A 22,642-nucleotide genomic window follows, 5' to 3' on the forward strand; every position below is an offset into this window, starting at 1 on the left:
CAGGGGTGTCCTCAGAGCCTGCGGTCATTTGATGGGCTGCTTGAGGAAGATGTACTCTGCATTGGCTCAAAGGAGTAGAAGCACCAGATTTTGCACCATTGAGAAGACCTTTCTTACAACTGTTGTGTCCAGCAACAGAACGGGCTGCATATGACACTGGCAGCTCCCCAGCTAAGAAGCTGGCTAGGCTGAGTAACCAGTGTGACCGGGGAGAGGATACCAGCAGGATTCACTGTCCTTTCATTTAGCTAGGATCATGTGATCTGGGGCCAGATGACCTGAATTCTCATCTTGGCTGCACCACTGGCTCGTAGTGTGAACTTGGGAACTCACAGTCTTTCCCTCATTTGGCTGCTGAAAGGACTAAGTGGGTTAAGGCGAAGTGCTTGGAACAGTTTTTAGTAAGTCAACAATAAATGTTAGTAGTTATTTTTGTTTTGTTTTTGTTTTTTTGTTTTGTTTTGTTTTTGAGATGTAGTCTCACCTGCAGCTGGGCTGGAGTGCAGTGGCACGATCTCGGCTCACTGCAACCTCCATCTCCCGGGTTCAAGCAATACTCCTGCCTCAGCCTCCCGAGTAGTTGGGACTATAGGCAAGTGCCACCACGCCCAGCTAGTTTTTGTATGTTTAGTAGAGACGGGGTTTCACCATGTTGGCCAGGATGGTCTTGATCTCTTGATCTCGTGGCCCACCCACCTCGACCTCCCAAAGTGCTGGGATTACAGGCGTGAGCCACCACACCCGGCTCAAATGTTAGTAGTTATAAAGGACATCTTCCAACTCCTTTTGTGTTTGATTATAATGTAATATGCTACAGTGGCTAGTCGTGAATAATCATTACAGAACATTGAAGAAATATGAGTTATTAATGAAAACTTTTAAATTATCATATATTAGAGGTAATAAGGTGGGAAGAGTAGGAGATGCAAACAAGCAGAGGACACACTTCCTGGGTTCTGGGGTTCCCAGTCCTGCTGGGAAAACATGATGCATAAGATGATAACTTACAATTGCAAACAGTGCATGATAGAATGCTTCATGAGTAGTCTGGCAGTCAGTTGAGAGAGGAGATCACCAAAGCAGGCCTTGAGTTAAACACCCAGGTTTCTGTCAAATAATGGTATGTAACATACAACCCAATGTCTCATTGGCTGAAAACAACAAGCATTGATTGCTCACAGTTGGGCCTGTGGGTCAGTGACAACTCAGCTGGGCAAGGCTGCACTCGCTGCAGGCTCCTGCTGTTGGTTCAGGGCTTCTCTGTGTGGGTCTTGTCTTGAAACTCGGGCTGAGGAAGCAGCCCTTAGACGAGGTGAGTTCTCGTGGTAGGGGTGGGTGTGGGGTAGGATCATTGGCGACAGGGGATCCTCCCATGGCTCTGGCTTGGAACTGGCCTAGCCATCCCTTTCCATTGTCCAAAAACGGCCACATGGCCAAGTTGAACATCAGTAGAGCAGGGATGCCTATTCTGGGGTGAAAGTGAAGCATGGCAGAGGTGAGAGAGAAGGGAAAATTGTGAGGAAATAGTGTACAGCCTACCACAGATAGCTTTCAAACGTGCACATTAACATTCAGTAGATGCCTTGAAGGAAAGAATCACAGCGTTATTCTGCACACGATGGGCATGCAGTAGTCAGGCATGGTGGCTCACACTTGTAATCTCAGCTCTTTAGGAGGCTGAGGCTGGAGGCTCACTTGAGGCCAGGAATTTGAGACCAGCCTGGACAACATAGCAAGACGCCATTTCTACAAAATTTGAAAAATTATCTGGGTATGGTGGCACGTGCCTGTAGTCCTAGCTACTTGGAAGACTGAGGCAGGAGGATCGCTTGAGCCCAGCAGTTCAAGGCTGCAGCGAGCTATGATTGCATCACTGCCCTCCAGCTTGGGCGACAGAATGAGGTGTCTCTAAAGATAGCTAGCTAGCTAGCTAGCTAGCTAGCTAGCTAGATAGGTTCGGGTGATTTTCATATGATATTCTAAGTGAAAACCCAAATCATAGGCAATTCAGCCACAGCAAAATACCCAACAAGTTTGTAACCACAGGCCACCTGGCCCACCTGGAGATAGACTAAGATGCTGAGGAGGACGGCCCCTCCCTCCAGGGAGGAGGAGACAAACAGAAGGGCTGTAATTAGGTCAGAGCTGAGGTCTCTACCTCTCTTTCAATACATTGGAAATAGGCTGTTGCCAAATGTGGCTCTGAAGGCCTGTGGTAAATTGGGAAATCCTGAATGCACTGTAATTTCCAGGGGCTCTCTGTGTTGACTTTATGATAACACCCCCAGGAGAGGTCGGATAATACTTTGCCTTGTAGCAAACGGATTTTCTTACTGAAGTTTCTCTCTGCACTTTGGTCGCTGGAGGACATTCTCCTCATACCCATACCTCTGAAATGAAAGGTGCTGGGAACACATCCTTGTCTTCCAATTGATGGGTCTATGGCACATCCACACGCAACAGGCCGCAGAAGCTGGTGCCAGAGCCGTGGTTGGGAGAATTGCCTCGCTGGCTTCATCTCCAGTCTGGAAAGAGGAGGATGGGTGCCTTTGGGGGTGGACTAAAGTGTATAAACATCACAGTATCTATAGAGTATCTGTCATTTGACAAGTGTTCTGTTTGTGCCTCTGCATGCATCATATACGGATGCCCACCATGTCCTCTGGGTGAGGAACTACTCCCCTGTACGAGGTCTAGAGAAACTGGATATCTAGGTCAGTCTACGACCAGAGGTTGGGCTTCTTCTACTTTTTCTTCCTTTTATTTAAATCAGACTGACCTTTTTAAGAGTCTGAGAGAGTAGAATGACAGATCCCAGGAACTGGGAAGGGTAGTGGGAGGGGGAGGGGGGTGGTTAATGGGTACAAAAATACAGTTAGGTAGAATAAAGAAGATCTAGTGTTTGATAGCACAGCAGGGTACCAGCAGTCAGCAATAATTTATCATACATTTATAAATAACTAAAAGAGTATAATTGGATTGTTTGTAACACAAAGAAAGGATAAATGCTTGAGGTGATGATACCTCATTTACCCTGATGTGGTTATTATGCATTGCATGCCTGTACCCCGTAAATAAAATAAAATATTCCTTGTACCCCATAAATAAAGACCCTGCTATGTACCCATAAAATTTTTAAAAAGGAAACTGAGGTAAACTTTTGACCCCCTCTCCTGAACAATGTGTAAATGGACAAACACACACAAATTACAGACAATGTCAAAGAGTTCACTGATCTTTTAAAAACAAGATGTAGATAGAGTTGTGTTCTGACTTAAGAGCTGAAGGGTGGAATTAACTTAAAACCCCTCCAACAGCTTTTTGGAAGAAAAGGTGAGGTGCTGTGAGAACAGACTCACCTCTTTCTTTGAAAACAGTTGTGTGACTGACATAATTCACACACGCACACACACATATGCATACACACATGCACATGCGTGCACACAGGCATAAAAACACATACACAAACATACACATGCACACACATGTATGAGCACTGTGCACACTCCAAACCCACATTTATTGGACTGGCTGATTCTTAGAGTGGTTCTCACTGATCATGAGATGCCCAGCCCAGCATAACCTTCTTTTTATTGGAAGCGACAGACCACAAAGGCAGGGTTGTAGAAATTCTTATGAGGACATCTTACTTGAGAAGTTTCCAGTTCTTTCTCACTGATGCTAAGTCAGACGTGTGAAGAAAACCCTATTCAGGCATTTTGGCCAGATTCAAATAGGTCAGAGGCCCAGAAAGAGTAATTAACTTGCAGAAACTTTTTCTCAACTGAGGGGACCACATAACCTATTATCCCTTAATAAGGCCGTTTCCTCAGTGAATCATGGGAGCTTGGACAGGCTGAGGAAAAACCAAAGGGACATTTTCACTAAAGCATCATATGATCTTCCCTAATGTCTTACTACCCCAGAAATTGTGTCATCCTCTTAAAAGGGACCAAGTTAAGGCTTGATGTGCCTTTTATGCACAGTGAATATTGTTTGGCTTCAATCTTGATGAACTAGCTGTGCAAAATATATTTCGTTTCCTTGTTTTGAGTCATGTTTGATGTGGTTCCCTATCATAATTTGTATGATGATGAACAAATCACTGTGATAAAGATGGAAAATACTCCCACCTGGGAAAAATTCAGTAGAGACAAATGAGGTGAATCAAACATCCTCAAAGACTCCCCCAGGTGCTCTGGAAAGAGACTTTTGACATTTGTGCCATTGGTCATTCATGTCAAACGGGGAATAGAAGCATTATGAAAGAGGAGAACCAGGAAGAATGTCAGGAATGCTGCACTGTGCTTGGAAGGGAGACAGAGGAATCAGTGGATAGATCCCTTCATCCAACAGTCTGCTCATGTTCACAGAGTCCCTGCTCTAGCCAGTCGCTAGGCTGGTCCTAGGGACGGAGGGGCAGATAATAGTGATGTGGAGCTTTCTGTCCTGCATGGGGTCACATTAAACATATGGCGAATGGGTCTTCCTTTGCTTTGCCAAAGTGCGTTCACAGTATGCTCCTGCACATAGACCAAGTTGGGTTGAATACATATTACTTCCTCAGGAAATAGCTCCCTGAGGAGGTTATTTGTATTCATGATCTGGAGAAAGATTGAAATTACTCAGGCAAAAACAGGGTGGTGGACAAGAGGGTGGAAGGATTTCTAGGCAAAGGAAACAACATCTATGCATCTACAATGGCCCTGAGATTGGACAAAAAAAAAAAAAAAAAAAAACATGGCAGAGGTGGCAAGAGGCCAATAGGTTGGATCACAGTGATTGAAGAGAAGATGAGGGGTAGGGCTGGGGCCAGAGAGGCACAGACCCTTGTGGCCCTGGAAAGGATTTTGAAGCTGGATTGGACACAGAAGGGTTTGAGCATGGGAATTCCATAATAAGATGGTCATATTAAAAAGATCATGGAAAAATTATTGTGGACAGGATGAGAGTGTTTGCAAGAAGACAAACCAGAGCCCCAAATGGTCATGTTTTAGCCAGAGATGCCATTGACTTAGATGACTGTGTTGACCATGGGGGTGGAGAGAAATGGGCGCATGCAAGGGATATTTAAGAAGCAGAATTGATAGGACTTGGCCATTGATTGGATGCAGGGATGAGAGCTTTTGTTGGATGGCAGAAGTATGTGTCTTTGGGGAGACAAAGGGGAGATGAAAGGCCAACCGTGTTGTAGTAGTAGCCACAACGGACATCTATTATTTTCTATGTCTTCCGTATAGTGTTTAGTTGTTTATGTGCAATAACTTATAAAACCATTCTGTAGTTCATTACTTCTAAGAAAACTTCCTCCTAATCTAGGTCAGTGTCATTTATGTCTGTTCTACTTCTAAAGAAGAGGAAGAAGTGACTTTTTCAAGGCCGATGTGTAAGTGTCCACTGCATAGAAGCCCTGGACTACTGCCATGGATACAAACCCAGGACAGATAGGGCTGCACCATTGCTTTTAGGAAGTCTGTCCTTCAGTAGGAAAGATAGAACCCACAGACCTGCACACAGTGAGGGGACCACTTAAATGCAACACAATGCCAGTGACAATAAGCTTTGCAGACTTAGTGCCTACGTGCAAGGAGGAGGCATAGGCTTCCCTGTGAGAAGTGAAGAGTGAGAAAGACTTTCTGGAGGGGTGGGATGTAAGCTTGTCCCCCATCAGATAAACTTTTAATTTCACAATAGTTTTAGGCTTACAGAAAGGTTGTAAAGATAGTGCAGAGAGTTCCCATATGCCACAGAAGTCCCTTACAGTTAACCATTTGCATTACTGGGGTACATTTGTCACCAAGTCATTTTTATCAACTCAAGTCCCTTCTTTATTGGACTGCATTAGTTTTTCCATAATGTCCTTTTTCCATTCCAGAATCCCATCCAGGAGACCACGTTAACATTTAGTCATCACGTTGCTTTAGGCTCCTCTGGGCTGTGATAGTTTCTCAAACTCTCCCTGCTTTTTTTTTTTTTTTCCGGCATAGTCTTGCTCTGTCGCCCAGGCTGGAGTGCAGTGGCATGATCTTGGCTCACTGCAAGCTCCGCCTCCTGGATTCACACCATTCTCCTGTCTCAGCCTCCCAAGTAGCTGGGACTACAGGTGCCTGCCACCACACCTGGCTAATTTTTTGTATTTTTTAGTAGAGACGGTGTTTCCCCGTGTTAGCCAGGATGGTCTCGATCTCCTGACCTTGTGATCCACCCGCCTCAGCCTCCCAAAGTGCTAGGATTACAGGCACTCCCCCTGCTTTTGATGGCCTTGACAGTTTCGAAGAGTGCTGGTTATGTGCATTGCAGAATGTCTCTCAGTTTGGATTTGTCTGAGGTTTTTCTCGTGATAGAACTGGTATGATGGGGTTTTGGAAGACCACAGAGTTGAAATGCCCCTCTCAGCACATATCAAGGGTCCATACTATCAACATGTTTTATCATTGTTGATACTGACCTTGATCACCTGGTTGAGGTAGTTTGTCAGGTTTCTCCACTGTTAAGTAACTCTAATTTCCCCGTTTTCTTTTCTGTATTCTTTAGAAGGAAGTCACTCTGCCCAGCTCACACTTAAGGGATGGGGTGTGATGCTCCACCTCCCTGAGGACAGACTATTTACATAAATTATTTGGAATTTTTCTGCACGGAAGATTCTGCTTTTCTCTCATTTATTTATTTGTTAATTCAATCATTTATTTATATCAGTATGGGCTCATGGATATATATGCTATACTTTTAGTTATGTTTCAATGCTACATCATTTATTTGGTTGCTCAAATTTTTCCAGCTTTGGACCTGGGAGCCCACTCAATGGACTCCTGCTCCCTGTGACATACGCACTCATCACTGTGTGTGTTTCTCGGCACTTCCTTACTTACAGGTACTAAGAGATGCTCCAGGCCCTTCTTGCATATTTCCTGTTCCAGCCTTAGAATCAGCCATATTTCCAAGGAGCTGCAGTTTCTTTTATTAGAGAATGGTGTGAGGAACCAAGATCTGGGCATTGAATGTGTAAGCTGGGTTTTAAAGGACAGTGGACAATAGAAAGGAACAGGAATGGCATTTGGAGTAGAAAGCTTGGCATAAGCAAGTATCCTGAGAATGAAGAAAATGAATTCTATGTGGGGAAGAGCATATACCTAGATGGAAGCATTTACACTGGTGAAATAAATCTTTCAGGCTTTAGGTCCAGACTGAAGTGTAATATTATCCCATCCCCCAACCCATTTATTCATCACCTTTCTTCACAATAGCTTCACCTTTTACCCATTAGCTAATGCAAAAGTCCTGGGAGCTATTCTTTACTTCACTCTCCCTTTCCACTCATATGCAATCAGTGAAAAATATTTCTTGATTCTGCCTCCCAATAATTTTTAAACCTGTCTTCCACTGTCCAGAGCCACATCTCCTGGCCAGGTACCTTCAATGGTGGGTAAACCAGTTCCAACATCCCTGGCAGCGTCTTCTCCCTGCAGCAGCCTTGCCACCTCTGGTGGTATTCTCTACCATGATCAAGGCCATTGGGCTTCCCATTGAGTTTAAGGTGAAGCCTTCTGAGGCTGATGGGCTGGGTGTGATCTTTTCCTCACCAACCTGTCTACCTGACTCTCTGTTTTTGTAACCTGAGATCCCACAGCAAGATCTTCCATCACTCCTCAATCAAGCATTGCAGTGGGACCTTTGGAGGATGTGGCCTTTGTCCAGATGCTTTTGCCTTATCTGGCCTGGCTACCTGGTATGACTAACTTCTTTCCATTTTTGTTTTGCTGTCACTGCCTTGGGAAGACTTGTTTGCTCCATGGTCAAGTATGATCCTCAATACAGATTCTCACACCATACTAGGAGAAAATGGGCCCATATTTTCAATTTGTTGATTCTATTTAAAATTTATTCAGTAAATACTTGCTCAGCATTTAACTGTATACTAAGAGGGTGTTCAAGGCGCTAGGCATAGAGCAATGAAATGACAGAGTAAGAACCCCCTCCTCTTGGAGCTTATAGTCCGATGAGGAAGGCAGAAAACGTGTTGAGCATTCATCTGAAAATCCAAAATCTCAAAGGCTCCAAAATCAAGCTTTTTGAGTGCCAGTGTCGCAGGTAGAAAACTCCACACAGAATTACTTAACACAAACTTTGTTTTACACACAAAATATTAAACATATTTTAATATGAAGATATATATGAAACAAATGAACTTTGTGTTTAGACTTAAGTTCCTTTCCCAAAATGTCTCATTTATGTGTATGCAAATATTCCTAAATCTGAAATCGCAAGCGCTTCTGGTCCGAGGCAGTTTGGATAAGGGATACGCAACATGTAGCAAATACATAAATATGATATTTAGTATATCTGGAGCTGATAAATACTGTGGAGGAAAAAGGCAGGGGAGGCCAACAGGTGTGCATGGAGTTGGGGGAGTCTTACATTTACGTGGGTTGATCAGAGAAAGCTTCATTCAGAAGGTCGATGCATAAGCAAAGACTTGAAGGAGGGGAAGGAAGAACCCATGCAGGTAGGAGGGGAAGAGCATTCCAGGCAGAGGCCTGAGGGAGAGGTCGTGCCTGATGAGCTCCAGAACAGCCAAGAAATTTGAGTTTGATATGCCTGTGAAGCACAGAGGTCTAGATATCCAGTAGACAATTTATGCATGACCTTGAGTTTAGGGTTGGAAACTTCAGGCTGGAAATTGGGAGTTGTCACCTACAGATGGCATCTGAAGACAGGAGACTAGAGGAAGTCTCAGGAGGCTAAATGTTCAGTGGCTGAGCTCTGGGACACCTGAGTTCTTTAGACTCAGAAGATGATAGTGGACCAGCAAAGGCACTGAAGAATAGCTCGGAGGAAAACCAGGTAGGTCTGGTGTCCTGGAAACCACAGGAAGAATGAGGAAGTGACCCACTACTATTAATTAGTACCATCATGTACATGGGCACATGTATTTACAATGTGCCCATCACTGTTCTGAGTCTTGTATGTATATTAACTCGTTACATCCTCATAATCCCTATGAGGTATTTTGTTTTATTATCTCTGCTTTGCAAATGGGAAGTCAGGCCCAGAGGTAAATAAACTTGTCCAGTCACATAGCTCACAAGCACTGGAGCTGGGGTTTGAATCTGGACCATCTAGTCTCAGGGTCATTGGTCTTCAGCACCACATCATGTGTGCCCAAACACTGCAGGTGCAGGTGGAAAAGCTCAGCGCTGAGACGAAGCACTGTGGATATCTTCGGTGAGCTTAAAAGAGAAGCTTGGAGTGAGTCCTGGAGGAGATAGAATGATTAGGGGCAGTCGATGAGGCACGGGAGGAGAGATGGTGAAGATAGCAGCCAGAGACAACTCTCATGAATAGCTTGGCTGTGAAGGGGAGTGAGAAACGTTAGGAAGACTACAGGGAGATGTGCAATCAAAGAGGAATTTTAGGAAGAATGTTAGAAATTATGGTATGTTTGTAGATGGGTGGGACTGAAAGGGTAAAAAGGAAAAGAATAATGACCTAGGAGGAGAGAAGGTGAACCTTGCATTTGTAACTGTGATCTAGAGAAGAGAGAATGTGAACCCTGCATTTGTAACTGAAAAATTATTTGCTGAGCTGCTTAATGTCAGTGATCTCTGCCAAAGTATAAACTGCTAGGGTTGGGGGATTTTAGATTTCCAGGTGCTGCTGTGGCTCCATGTGCTCCACGTCCTTGCCTGGTGAATGGGGGAAGGAATCATGCCACTGATGAAGGTCAAAGCAGGGCTCCTGGTGCCCTGAACCTCCATACCTTCCTGCCCCACCGCTGCCTGCAGACCCAGCTTTCTGCTCGCAGCCTGGGCATGCCTTCTGCCTGTATCCTCCCATGAAGGCCAACTCCAAACCCACCAGGCATTGCTGAGGAGTAAGTGGGAGGGAGAAGTCACATGGCACAGGATGCCGTGAAACTGCCCCAGAGCCCTTGGAAGTCTCCCCGGACAGCCACTTCACGCCTTTCCCTGGTTCCCAAACCTCAGTCCTGCCAGCTGCCTGGGCTCTACCTCTATGCCACTGCTCCACAGGCTGCTTGGCTCTATTCTCACTGCCCTTTGTTTCCCAGCCTTGGGTCAGGGACAGACCTCCATCCATTTCATGGGAAGACTCCCTAAGGCCCAGAACTTCTCCATCTCAGAGGGATGAATGGTGGTCAGCAGAGATGCTTTCAGGAGTGAGGGATCAGAGGCTCTGGGAAATGCCTCACCATTTCACAGAAGCCCTTTTCCTTCTGCCAACCCCCCAGGGGCATTTATAAAATTCCAGAGTGAGATTGAGAAGCTGAACTAACTCACCTGCAGGGCTGGGTCTCCCCCACCAGGCAGCCACAATAGCCTGCAAGGCATCTGCTGAGTGTGGGAGAAATGCTGCTTTTCAACGTAGGTATGAGGGCAGAACTCATGCGTGTTTGTCAAAAAGGCCTCCCACAGTTTTTGAGGCATCACACATACACCTACTCACACTCCCCCATGGAGGCATGCTCTCCTCTCTCACACACGCACATGCACGCAGGGACTCACACATATCACTCATCATGCCTCTCTCCCCTCCCCACACCGAGCTACCCTGCCGGCAGCACAGAGTGAACAGCGCCGTGCACCCATCTGGGCCTGACCTGCCTACATTGTTAGCCTAAAATACTTGTGAGTATATATACAGCATGGTAAGGAACTAATTTTTGAAGCCAGTGTGGGGGCTCCAGGGCACTCCGCCATTTCCTCTTTTCCCTAAAGCTGTTAAACTAAATTATAGGGCTGGGAGAATGAGAGGCCAGCTGTGCTTCAGCTGCAGGCCCCAGTTGTTGTGACAAAGTGAAAAGTGTGGGTACCAACAGATCATTAACTGTGCAGCCAAAAATAGGCTGATGATTGGATCTCACGCTCTGCTCTGAGGAGACCGTGGACCCAACTCTGGCAGGTGCTGGTTCTAGCCCAGGATGGCACTGACTCTCACAGCCAAAGGGGCATTGACAATTGCCCCTAACACACCACCTCACGTTCTTCTTACTTCATTACATAAGGGCAAGTTTTATTTTTTTATAAACTGTTCTTAAAATTGACAGGGGTTTTTGTCTCTGTTTTGGTTTTGTTTTTAAAATTTCCCCACAATTTCCTGTTGCCTTGCCTCTTTGGCTGAGTTCGACTTTCCTGTTGACTATAATTACTGCGAGTCTGGTGAAGAGTTGAAAAATCTAAGTTGACATTAAAGGTGCATTACACTTGAATAAACCCAGAGACAGAATATCACACGTTGGTTTGGAGTTGCCCCTGTGTTTTGTCTAGATTAACAAATTTAGACGGCTTTTGATTTGCATAGCATTAATAACTGCTGGGGCAATCTCTGGAACTTGTAAACACTGCTCATAAATAGTCGCTAAAGTGTGAGGTTGAATAAACATTACCTCGATGGTTTGTGAAGGACTGGCCAGCATGAAACCAAATTGTGCTTTGAAATAAGACCTTTGTCATTGGGAAGGAGTGGAGAGAAAACAGGACTGGGACACTAAACAGTAGCTACTTCAATTTCTTGACTGCTTAGCAATCCACAAGTGACCAGAAACGGTTGACATCATCTGTGGTGCCTCAGTTTCTCTCTCATTATTTGTAAACTGGCAATCATAGTCTAGAAGACTGATGTTTTATGCAGTCACTTATTCATTCCATGTTGGAAGAAGAACTGAGAATATTTTTTTGGCTGCAGCCTTGTCACGTGAACGTACAAATTTTGACCTTGAAGAATCCATAGACACCTTCCAGTTCTGCGTCATTTTACACAGGGGGCATCCCAGGCCCAGGGAGCTGCATGGAGCTGGTTAGGCTCTCTGCTGCAGACCAAGCAGAGGCATCATTTCTCAAGGCTTCTGTCATCTGTGGCTATCAGCTTTGCTATCATGACTCACATTTGCAACCTGGCCTATTTTCCGGGCAAATGTGGACTGGCCTGGACTTGGCAGAGGCTCGTAGAGGAGATGTTTGCAAATGAAGATGCATAAAAAGTTTAAAGCTTAATGGAAATTCAAAATTTAAACTTACTTAGGAGAAAGGGTTTTAATCATACAACTTAGAATATTCTTCTTTCCACGCTTTCTGAGATGTTGCTAAGTAAAGGAAAGCTAATAGCCAGAGAAGATGTAGGGAAGTGTTCCTGACCAGGCACTGGGGGCCCTGTCTTGTTCCTAACTAACTGTACTGGTCATGATAATGTTTGCTGAGCATTTACTATGTGCTAGGATTTTAGGTAATGTGGTTAACCATACAGTATCTCATTTAGACCTCACAAGGAATCTTTGAGGTAAGTGCTGTTATTGTCACTATTTTATATTTTTAAAAAGTTCAAAGGAGGCTAACATTCGCCCAAGGCCACATGACTGGTAGTGCAACCAGGATTTTAACCCTGAGATTCTGGCAACCCGTGCTGCCTGTGCTTATCTCTGTTTTGATTCTGTCACTGAGATGCCGGGCCTTTCAAGGTACCGTGCAGATGCTTGGGCTGCCCAGCGCTGGTGATTTCTTGTTGGGGAACACTCCGATGATTAACTGAATGTCTTCGCTTCTTGTTCGTGTGAAGCACACATGTGTTTGGGCACCGCGTGTGGAGGCTGTGGAAGGCTCCCAGATGAGGGCACGTGGCACTCAGGGTTTGCCCACTTACCATTTGAGCCATCGACAGGCACGAGGATGGGAAGTTGGGCCTCGGTGAAACGCCCTGGCTGGAAATGCCTGGTCTGCTAAGCGGGGAATACTCTGGGTTGAAGCACTTGTTTTGATGACGTGTTTCACTGGTTGCATCATCATTTAAATAATGACCAGTCTCAGGGCTTATTTCTCAACAGAATTCTAGTTTTCAGGTCTGTAACGATGGGCAGATTTTCCATGACACGACTAAAGTCCAACGCCAGTGCCACTTCTCCCATGATGCTTCCCGTTCTCTCTTGTGCCCACCGAGGCCCTGTGGCTTTTCCTTGAAACTTCCCCGTGGCCCTCATCGCGTGCCTCATCTTGTGTCACAGTTATCTGCGCAGCAGAGAAAAAGGAGCACAGACCTCACAGACAGACAGATTGGGCTCAACATGCACCTGGGCCTTGAGGAGGTTAGTGTATCTCCTGGAGCTAACTTACTATTTTGTTATTTTCATTTCATAGATAATGGAAGTGAAATATTCCTTGGAAGGTTGGTATGAAGAATTAACTATAAAGTAGATTAGGCCATAGTGTGACGTCCAACATGGAGGAGGATTCCACAAGTGGTAGCTAGTATTATTGTACTTATTAATGAGTATATTTAGGCATATCAATTAGATTTACTTGACAGGTTGCATACTTGAGAGTAGAGACCACTTGTCTAACATTATGTTATCTTCATCAGTCCTACATATTTTAGGCACTTGAAAAATGTCTCTAAAATTAAAAAATGAATACATCTATATGGGTATACATATGTGTGTATACATATATTTTTAAAAGTTCGTATATGTGTATATACATACAAATATGCATATGTGTAAATTTAAAAATGTGTGTATATGTCTGTATATATATATGTGTGTCTATATATATAAAATATGCACTAGTGCTAGAACCAAATACATATGCGTGTGTATATATTTGATACATTGCTCTGTGGAATTTAAATTTCACCTGCTCTTTTTATCATTTCCTAATCTCCCACCAGTTAATTATTTGAGGACTAATATTACTTTAGGTTTTGTGGTTTTGTTGGTGGTGGCAGATGATCTTTATGTAAATTAAGAGAAAACCAGGGCTGTGGTTGGAGTCCGGCACACTCCCGTGGTGCCAGCGTTGTAGCCCAAGTGTAAGCATGCCTCCACTCACACCAATGTACCTCGACATCGGTTATTTATGACTCACTCCCCAGCCACTTATTTGTTCCTATGTCACAGAATCTGCCTGTGCAGGGAGGCTCACATGCTGACCGCGAGCAGACGGAACAATCCTCGTTTGTTCATGGAGAAACAAGGTGGGCAATTGACCTGACCATGTGCCCCCTGGGGAAGGAGCCAGGGTGAGGGTGGGAGTGGAAGGCCTGGACCAGGAAATGTCTGACACCTTCCCACTTCAGGACACTTGGGCATGCACCTAATTTTTTTTGTTGTGCCTTTTGTTCTGGCGAGGCTTTAGCTGTAGGGGAGATTATATAGACAGCGCTAGTACCAAACATTTATTTAAAGTGAAATAGCACCAGCTGCCATTTCTATGTCAGTGAAATAGATTCTTTGGAGGCCCTTCCCCTCCTGAGTCTGACAAGGCAGACAAAGATAACAGCCTGCCAGGACTCCATCCCCTGTGCAAGGCGTCACTATTAAATCCCAGGAATGTGCTTCCAACTCCTCCTCTCTCTGCTGCTTGCCTTTGTTTTTTGAAATGAGCAGGATCTTGGGTGGGCAAGGGAACTTACTGGGGGATCGCTTAGCACTCCCTTTCTCAAAGCCCTGGGATATTTTAATTCTTAGCCTTGGTGCCCAGCACTTAAAGCACATGAAAAGTAAAGCTTTAGATTGAAGTTGAAAGAAAATACCAGAAATGGCATTTGGAAGCCATGAAATATGGCACTCGACAGATGAGACAGGCAATACTACAGTATTAGCTGTAGATTTCACGAGCAAATTTCAGGGTTGCATGGGCCATTAAAAGCAAAACAAAAACCATAATTGCTCCTAATCTCTATTCATTCTGCATGTGCAAATCCTGTTCAAAGGGAGATTTTGAGGAGGAAGATCAAGAGAAAAATAAGCATGAATCTTTGGACAGTGTCAGATGTGATCCTCCTTTGAAGACTTGTGAAGAATAGGGCTGGGTCCTGAGGTGTGAGCGCTCCTGAGCGGCTCATCTGAGGTGACAGTGCTTTAAAAGACCTGGCTTCCTGGCATTGCCCTTGTCAGCCTCATCTACATCCACAATCCCCTTTTGTGTAGGTGAAATACTTCTGCTGGGTTTTGGCTCAGAAGCTGAGCAAGATGATCTTGCCTACAGATGTGCTTTCACTTAACTTTCCTTAAAAAAAACAACCAACTCTGCTTAAATTACAGCAAAATTAGTTGTGCACCTAAGGGGTTACAGGTTGGGAGTGGAAACAAGAGGGAAGAGAATGGCCAATTTAATCTGGTTGTAGACCCAGGAAAAGTATCCTCCTAATAATTTATAATTCTTGTCCTCTCTTCCCCTGAGAATAAAGGTTCTTACCAGTTCTCAGTTGCCTTACTCATGCTAATACTATTTTTAAGATAGTAGACAATTGTATGCAATAATTTTGATCTTTAATCAAGCTAGATAATAAAAAGCAGTAGTAAAGTGGCAATATATTGAGGCTAAAAAAAAAACCAGTAGCTGTAGTCTGTGTAGACTAAAATGTGAAGTATTCCTACTATTGATATACTCAGACTTTGTGATCCCATTTAAGAATATTTTGAATAATCTATGGCGATTGAACCTTTTTTTAGTATTACATATGCCTTGAACAAGGTCTGGTATGTTATAATTTGCACCAGCATTAGTTTAGGCAAACACTATGCAACAAAATGATTATAATCCATTAAAACCGTATTTGTTTCCACATTCACAGAAAATTAACTTGAGTTACTGTATTGATGGGGTGAGTGGGATGCTTGAGAAAGTCCTCCTCACCTCCATTTTTTCTTTCTCCTTCTCTGCCTCCACGTGCCCTACATTTTTTTCCAAACAAAGCTCATTCATTTTCAGTGACTTAATTTTTCTTAATTTATATCACTGAAAGAGGAACAAGTGCACAGTTTCGTTACACGGATATATCGCATAGTTGTGAAGTCTGGGTTTTTAGTGTAGCCATCACCCTAATAGTGTACATTGTACCCATTAAGTAATTTTTCTTTCCTCACCCCCTCCCACTCTTCCAAGTTTCCAATGTCTATCATTCCACCCTCTACTTTCATGGGTACACATTGTTTAGCTCCCACGTACAGGTGCGAACATGTGGTATTTGACTTTCTGTTTCTGAGTTGTTTCACTGAAGATAATGGCGTCCAGTTCGATCCATGTTGTAGTAAAAGACATGATTTCATTCCTTTTCATGACCAAATAGTATTCGATTGTGTATATGTGTAACATTTTCTTTATTCAGTCTTCCATTGATGGATACTTAGGTTGATTCCGTATCTTTGCTATTGTGAATAGCGCTGTGATAAACATATGAGAGCGAGTATTTTCTTCTTCTTCTTTTTTTATTTTTTCAGAGACAGAGTCTCGCTCTGTTGCCCAGACTGGAGTGCAGTGTCAAAATCATAGCTCACTCATAGTAACGTCAAACTACTGGACTCAAGTGATCTTCCTGACTCAGCTTCCCAAGTAGCTAGAATTACAGGAGCGTGCCACCAAGCCCAACTAATTTTTATTTTTATTTTTGTAGAGATGAGGTCTTGCTTGAGTTCCTTTCTCTCAGTAGGTTTAAATCAATTGTTTTGATTTAAAACAACAACAGATTGGACCTTAATGTTTGGTCTCAAAGTAAATGAAAGGTTTGAATGAAGAATATTTCCATGTGTCTTTCTGTCCTTAAAATCAAAAGTTGTGAACAGGCTGGGTGAGGTGGCTCATGTCTGTAGTCCCACCTCTTTGGAAGGCCAAGGCAGGCAGATCACTTGAGCCCAGGAGTTCAAGACCAGCCTGGGCAACAAAACAAAACTCCATCTCTACAACAATGAAAAAATTAACCAGGCATGGTGGCATGTGCCTGTAGTCCCAGCTACTTGTGAGGCTGAGACTGGAGGATCGTTGAGCCCAAGAGGCAGAGGTTGCAGTGAACTGTGATTGTGCCACTGTACAACAGTGCCAGCCTGGGCAACAGAGTGAGACCCTGTCTTTAAAAAAAAATGAAAACAAAAACAAAAAAAAACAAATAAAAAGTTATAAACAAAGAGGAGGAACCTTTTCTGGTCTGATTGCTGTTGAAAGGAAACAGCTTTCTTTTAATTTGACTGAGGATCAGGTAGGCCTGAGCCTGTTTGCATGGGTGCTCAGATTCAGTGTGAAGCCTTAGTGAGTGTCTTTCTCTTTCTGATGGGTAAGTTCGAGGCAGACACTTCACTCCTGGCTTCTATCCTAACCTCCAGCTCAAAACCCTTTGCATCTTACCCTCTGTAATGGATAGGCCAGCCAGGGATTCTGACTTCTGTACATTCTGCCACTTTGATCAGCTAAACTTTAAAGGGTGATTTCTTCAAAAGATGTTGAAAGCTGCCTTAAGTTGAGTGACTTCATAGCAAAGACTAAGCTGCTATTTCTTACCAAATTTCCTCTTCAAGGAGCATATGCAACTCTTCAAAACTTTTCCTTATTCAAATTGTCACACCAAACCAGAAGATCACCCCATTACAAAAACAGAGCCCATCGCAATTACCATCTCCTTTATAAAATGAAAAATTATGCTCAGACTATTTCTCCATGAGAAATTACAATTCCTGTGCAACAGATTGCGACTTAAGCCATTACATTGGTTCTTTATGAAGTCTGCGCAGAAAGGAATTGGAACCCCTTAGAAACCCCATCAAGAGTAGCTCAGGTCTTCCATATCCTTTTTTTTAGCTCTGGAATAACCTGGCTTTTTCTTGGTGATTTTGTGATAAATAATGGGAATATTTGCAAAATATGTTGTGATAAACAACAAAAGCTTGGCTTTGCTGTAAATAATTGCTTAAAGAAATACGAGTTTAGGTAGAACTAATTTAAGATAAAATAAATAATAAGAAAACATAGGCCAATATTTATGTAATCCCTTTATGGGAAAAGACTTTCTAAAATAATAAGCAAAGAAAGGAGCCACAAAAGAGAAAACTAGCAGATTTGCTTGCATAATAAGACTTTTAAAATCTTTATATATCTTTATGCATTTAAAACTACATTGATAAAGTCAAAACAATAAAAAAAGGAAAAGGATTTTCACCAAACCTAAGGGTGTGGGGTTACTCTCAATGAAAGATGAAGAATTCGTGCAAATCAGTAATTGAGTGCACAGTCAGTAAGACTATACAAATAATGAGAGGAAATTGAAATGTCTGATAAACAACAACAAAAAATTCAGCTGTGTTGTTAGTAATCCCAAAAGTTTAAAACTTTAAAGAACTCACCTAATATCAAAGAATTGTATGAAATGCTAATTACTGGCAAGAATTTAGTAATTGGGCATTTCTATATATTGCTAGTAGAATAAACCGATATGCCCTATTAGAAAAATAATTTAGCAGGCCAGGTGCGGTGGCTCACGCCTGTAATCCCAGCACTTTGGGAGGCCAGGGTGGTTGGATCATGAGGTCAAGAGATCCGGGCCATCTTGGCCAACATGGTGAAACCCCATCTCTACTAAAAATACAAAAATTAGCTGGGTGTGGTGGCGCATGCCTGTAGTCCCAGCTACTCAGGAGGCTGAGGCAGGAGAATCACTTGAACCCAGGAGGCGGAGACTGTAGTGCGCCCAGATTGTGCCACTGCACTCTGGCTTGGAGACAGAGACTCTGTCTTGATAAAAAAAAAAAAAAAAAACAAATAATTTAGCATTATGCATTAGAACCTTACCAAACAGTTTCAAGCATTAAGTCATTCATTGCAATGTTTTTTTTTTGCCTGCAGAAAACTAGAAATAATCAATTGATCAAGAAAATTTATAATTATGTAGTTATCAAAGGATACTCACTGACAATTTTAGCAATAAAAGAAAATACTCATGTTAATTTTAAAAAGAATACAAAATTATATATCCAGTATGCCTAGATGTGTAAAATTCTATTTTAATTCAAAATTGCATAGAGATATACCAAAATGTGGTGATTGTTTCTGGATTTTATTCTTTATACTTCTTACAATTCCACTATTGTGAAGTACTTAAAGTACTATTTCTAGTAGTTTCCATTAGCATTCCCAAGCTATTTTTACATGTCAGTCTCAATTGTCTCATTTTCATCATGGGAATTAGTGTGTGGTATATAAAATTAGTCTATATATTATTACTACATATAGTTTATAAACTATAATGCACCTATACTATGTAATATAAACATTTTATTTTAATGTGTTAATATATTTGTACTTGTTAACTTGCATTTTGTTAGTATATGCATGAGTTGATATAAGCTGCATAATATCAGCAAATACATACTACATAATTTCAGCATATATCAATATGTATTTCAGTTATATAAAATTTATTTCTGCCTACAAAAAAGGATTAATTACATTTGAACTTAATTCAGGGTGGTCTTAATGGCTGCTGCATTCTCCTCCATTCATAGTGACACACCACAGCAAGTACAAGTCCTTAAACTAATGTCAAACTCACGGATTTCCGAGCCCCACTTGGGGGCTCTCATACTTCAAACAGCATGTGCCACCACAAATCTCCACTGCAGTGGGGCCTTTGGACAGGGAGGGCCCTGGCGTCCTGTGTAATGGAGTATGACTTTTATAAGGTGTTAAGAGTTGCTGTGTGAATGGACATTGTCACCCATAACTTCAGTGCTCAGATTAGCAAAATATGTTGCCTTTGAAAAAAAGAATTAAGTTGATCTCCGAGAAAGGACAAACACATGGGAGAATCAAAGGGCTCTTTCAGATTTGTAAACCTAATATCAAAGAGTTCAGAAGTCTAGCCCAGCCTTACAGGTGTCCTTTGCTTTGATCATTAATTAAAATGTGACTTCTATCCAGTGTCACTGTGGGAGGACTTGACAAAACAAAGAATATCAGGTACCTGACAATTTCTTATAATGCCCTGAAAGACAGGTGTTCATTCCTGCAAAAGCTTTGAAGCTAAAAATAAAATAAAACGAAATTTAAATTAAAGGATATTCCCAAGCACATAGTAATCATCTTAATACGTACATTTCAGGGTCTCTTTTTCTCCCTGATGATGGTAGTGGTGGTGGTGGGGGCAGGGGTGTTAAAGACAGGCAAAACCTCTGGCTGGAAAGGAATGCAGAAAATGGGGTAAAGTAAAGCCTTGTAAGTCATTTGAGATCAATCGTCAGAGAATGTGTCTCAACGGTGTCATTATCAGATTAATATTTGAGTTCCAATTTAAGCTAGAATTATTTGGATAACAAAAATCAAAAGAAAAGTTTTTACAATTTTGCCTCAGAGCAAAAGAAACGTATCGGAGGTGGGATTTTTGTGATTTTTTACCACACCTCTCAAATTCCTGCAAGCTTGTGTTGCTCTGTAGAGTCATGGATGTTGTTACCTTCACAGCCCTGTTTTGTTTTACCTTGAGTCAAAACTGGGAAAAAAAATTCTCCTAATTTATTTTGAGTTTTAGGGGTACTGTAGACTAATCATTGCAAAATGTGATTTATTTGATAAGTCACTCTACTTTGGAACAAAGAGATGCCTCCTTGGGGATAAAAACAAACTTTTGATTAATCAGTTCCTTCTTTTTATTTTCTCATTGGCATTTCCTGGGGCCAGGTCCTCTATTGTGAGTGTACTAATACAATGTTTCTGAACTTTGAAGAAACTTACAGGGTAGAATAATTGACAGTCTAAACTAAGAGCAGTCAGCAAATAAAAACATTCAGCAAAATACATAGACTAGAAAACTGTGTACAGGGGTTACAAGAAAAGTGGGGCACATTCATTATACGTAGAGTTAAATAAGTGGCATAGAGCTCCAAGAAAACATTGGGGAAGGGTACAGGCAGGGATCACATGTCTTTTAGTTAAGAAGGGATTCAAGGGCTGTGGGACTCCAGAAGTCCACAGAGAGAGAAGTTTCATGTAACAGAGTAGGCGGATGTCACAGGTGCAGGAAGCTCTCTGTAGCAAGGTGGATTGCTACCCGTGGGACTCACCTGGAACATGCTGTGGAGGGAAAAGCCATGTAGGGGCCCTGGAGGGGCTGGGGAGCGCTAGGAAGATTTAAGCAGAAGTTAAGGGCTTAGCTGAAGGAGTGCTATCATGAGATTAACATGGTCAGTAATTTTGGTGAGAAAAATTACCTTGGTCCCAGCACAGGACACCTTAGTGAAAGAACTTCCGTCAAAAGTAGAAAGTCAGAGATACAGTGGTTTGTTCAGACTTCAGCTAGGTCCGTAAAATCAGGTTGAAGATGAATATTGGCAAGGAAAAATGGTCACAATAAGCTTATACAATATTCCCATTTTTATTAAAAAATACGTTTGTGAAGAAAAAAGGGGCCATAACAGAAAACATACTGACAAGGAAAGATGTTCACAGTATACAGATGTAATATTTCCATTTGTTAAAACCTGCATTTGCAAAGGAAAAAAAAATTCAAGCTGGAGATTGCAGCAGTGACTACTCCTTTCTTTATTCTCTGAGCGTTGAAACTTTCTCAGCTTCTGTTTCATGATTGCTTACAGAAATTGGCTCTTTTGAACGTTATTTTAGAGTTAAAGCGGTGAAATCTCCCATTTATGTGGGGGCATTTTTAAAGAAATGTCGTCTCTTCTGCACCCTCCTGGGACTTCCTGCACCATCACATCCCCTTTGGTTCTACTTCCTTCCATGGCTTAGTTATCGTAGGGGACTTGGGCTTGGCAGAAGCTCTAGGGCCCACACAACACCATCCCAGACCCCCAGGCCTCCTTCCACTGGCTCACACTGACATGTTGCTGCCTCTTGACCCCAGGAGTCCACAGTCCTCACCGCTTCAGAAAGCTTTGAATCAGATATTGCTGCTGAGCAGCTGTTGGTCTTGTCTGCGCTGTTCTGTCAAGCCCACCGGCGTGCAGCAAGGGCAGCCCCAGGGACAGTGGCTAGAGAGGACAGGTCTGCATTCTGCTTATCTCACTCTCAGCATGAAGGTTTCCAGTGGGTTTTCCCATAGTTTTTCATCTTTTTCTTTGGAAAATACTAAGTCTACTTGATCGAAGAGTGAGCAACTGTCTTCTTCATAGAAACTTACAGAAGTCCTCAGAGTGTTTCTATTGGCCGACAATATCCTGACTTCATGCAGGGTCACAGCTCCATTCTTTGTCTGGAACCAGATGCAACCTAGCTGCCCTTCTGTTGATCTTTCATTATAAAAACAACCATTCTGGATAACAGCATTGCTTATGGCAATGATGATAGTACTTCTTGATATTGTTTAACACTTAATATGCATCTGTATGCACACTATACTATACTAAAGTATGCATACTTAATATGCATACTATACCAGGAATCGTATCAGTATTCCCCACTTATCTGTGGGGATACAGTCTTAAGACCCCCCAGTGATGCTTAAAACCTCAGATAGTAATAAACCATATATACACTATGTTTTTTCCTACACATACATATCTATAAAATTTATTTTATAAATTAAACTCAGTAAGAGATTAATAATAACTAATAATAGAAAATCATAACAATATGCCATCATCACTACTCTTGCACTTTGGAATCATGAGTAAGTCAAATAAAGCTTAAACCTCAGCCTTGTGATACTGCGAAAGTAGATCTGATGACCAACTGGGCACAAGTGACTGATGGGTGGGTGGGTGGTGCATGCAGTGTGGATCCCTGGGACAAAGGGATTATTCACGCCCTGGATGGAGAGCAGTGGGACAGGGCAAGATTTCATCCTGCTACTCAGAATGGGGCACAAGTTAAAACATATGACTTGTTTATTTACAGAATTTTCCATTTAATATTTTCAG

The 22,642-nt window shown here is 42.5% G+C and overlaps 1 long non-coding RNA gene across 3 annotated transcripts in view, besides 6 other annotated features; it reads left to right on the plus strand.

Annotated features, from left to right (window-relative positions):
- Positions 1 to 22,642, plus strand: part of LOC105370108 (uncharacterized) — a 114,586-nt gene that overhangs the window by 10,170 nt on the left and 81,774 nt on the right. For 2 of the 3 annotated variants that reach the window (XR_001749777.2, XR_007063715.1), the window contains exons 1-2: positions 10,554 to 13,090; positions 13,901 to 13,977. This is a non-coding gene — a long non-coding RNA (uncharacterized LOC105370108). Of the gene's footprint in view, positions 1 to 10,553; positions 13,091 to 13,900; positions 13,978 to 22,642 lie in introns of those variants that run through there. The other variant, XR_007063716.1, reaches the window with a different exon arrangement.
- Positions 9,828 to 10,378: an enhancer, noted in NCBI's record as "H3K4me1 hESC enhancer chr13:22635107-22635657 (GRCh37/hg19 assembly coordinates)". NCBI's record gives its function as "activates a minimal SCP1, AML or CMV promoter by ChIP-STARR-seq in primed H9 embryonic stem cells {active_cell/tissue: H9 hESC(primed)}" and the evidence as "EXISTENCE:reporter gene assay evidence [ECO:0000049][PMID:30033119]".
- Positions 9,828 to 10,464: a biological region, named in NCBI's record as "Sharpr-MPRA regulatory region 1095".
- Positions 10,170 to 10,464: a silencer, noted in NCBI's record as "tiled region #1095; HepG2 Repressive non-DNase unmatched - State 24:Quies, and K562 Repressive non-DNase unmatched - State 24:Quies". NCBI's record gives its function as "represses a minimal TATA promoter and a strong SV40 promoter by Sharpr-MPRA in HepG2 and K562 cells {active_cell/tissue: HepG2 | K562}" and the evidence as "EXISTENCE:reporter gene assay evidence [ECO:0000049][PMID:27701403]".
- Positions 10,608 to 10,657: an enhancer, noted in NCBI's record as "active region_7442". NCBI's record gives its function as "activates an Ori minimal core promoter by ATAC-STARR-seq in GM12878 lymphoblastoid cells {active_cell/tissue: GM12878}" and the evidence as "EXISTENCE:reporter gene assay evidence [ECO:0000049][PMID:35858748]".
- Positions 10,948 to 11,107: an enhancer, noted in NCBI's record as "active region_7443". NCBI's record gives its function as "activates an Ori minimal core promoter by ATAC-STARR-seq in GM12878 lymphoblastoid cells {active_cell/tissue: GM12878}" and the evidence as "EXISTENCE:reporter gene assay evidence [ECO:0000049][PMID:35858748]".
- Positions 12,590 to 13,090: an enhancer, noted in NCBI's record as "H3K4me1 hESC enhancer chr13:22637869-22638369 (GRCh37/hg19 assembly coordinates)". NCBI's record gives its function as "activates a minimal SCP1, AML or CMV promoter by ChIP-STARR-seq in primed H9 embryonic stem cells {active_cell/tissue: H9 hESC(primed)}" and the evidence as "EXISTENCE:reporter gene assay evidence [ECO:0000049][PMID:30033119]".

This window comes from Homo sapiens, chromosome 13 (assembly GCF_000001405.40).
Source record: "Homo sapiens chromosome 13, GRCh38.p14 Primary Assembly".
Lineage (NCBI taxonomy): Eukaryota > Metazoa > Chordata > Mammalia > Primates > Hominidae > Homo > Homo sapiens.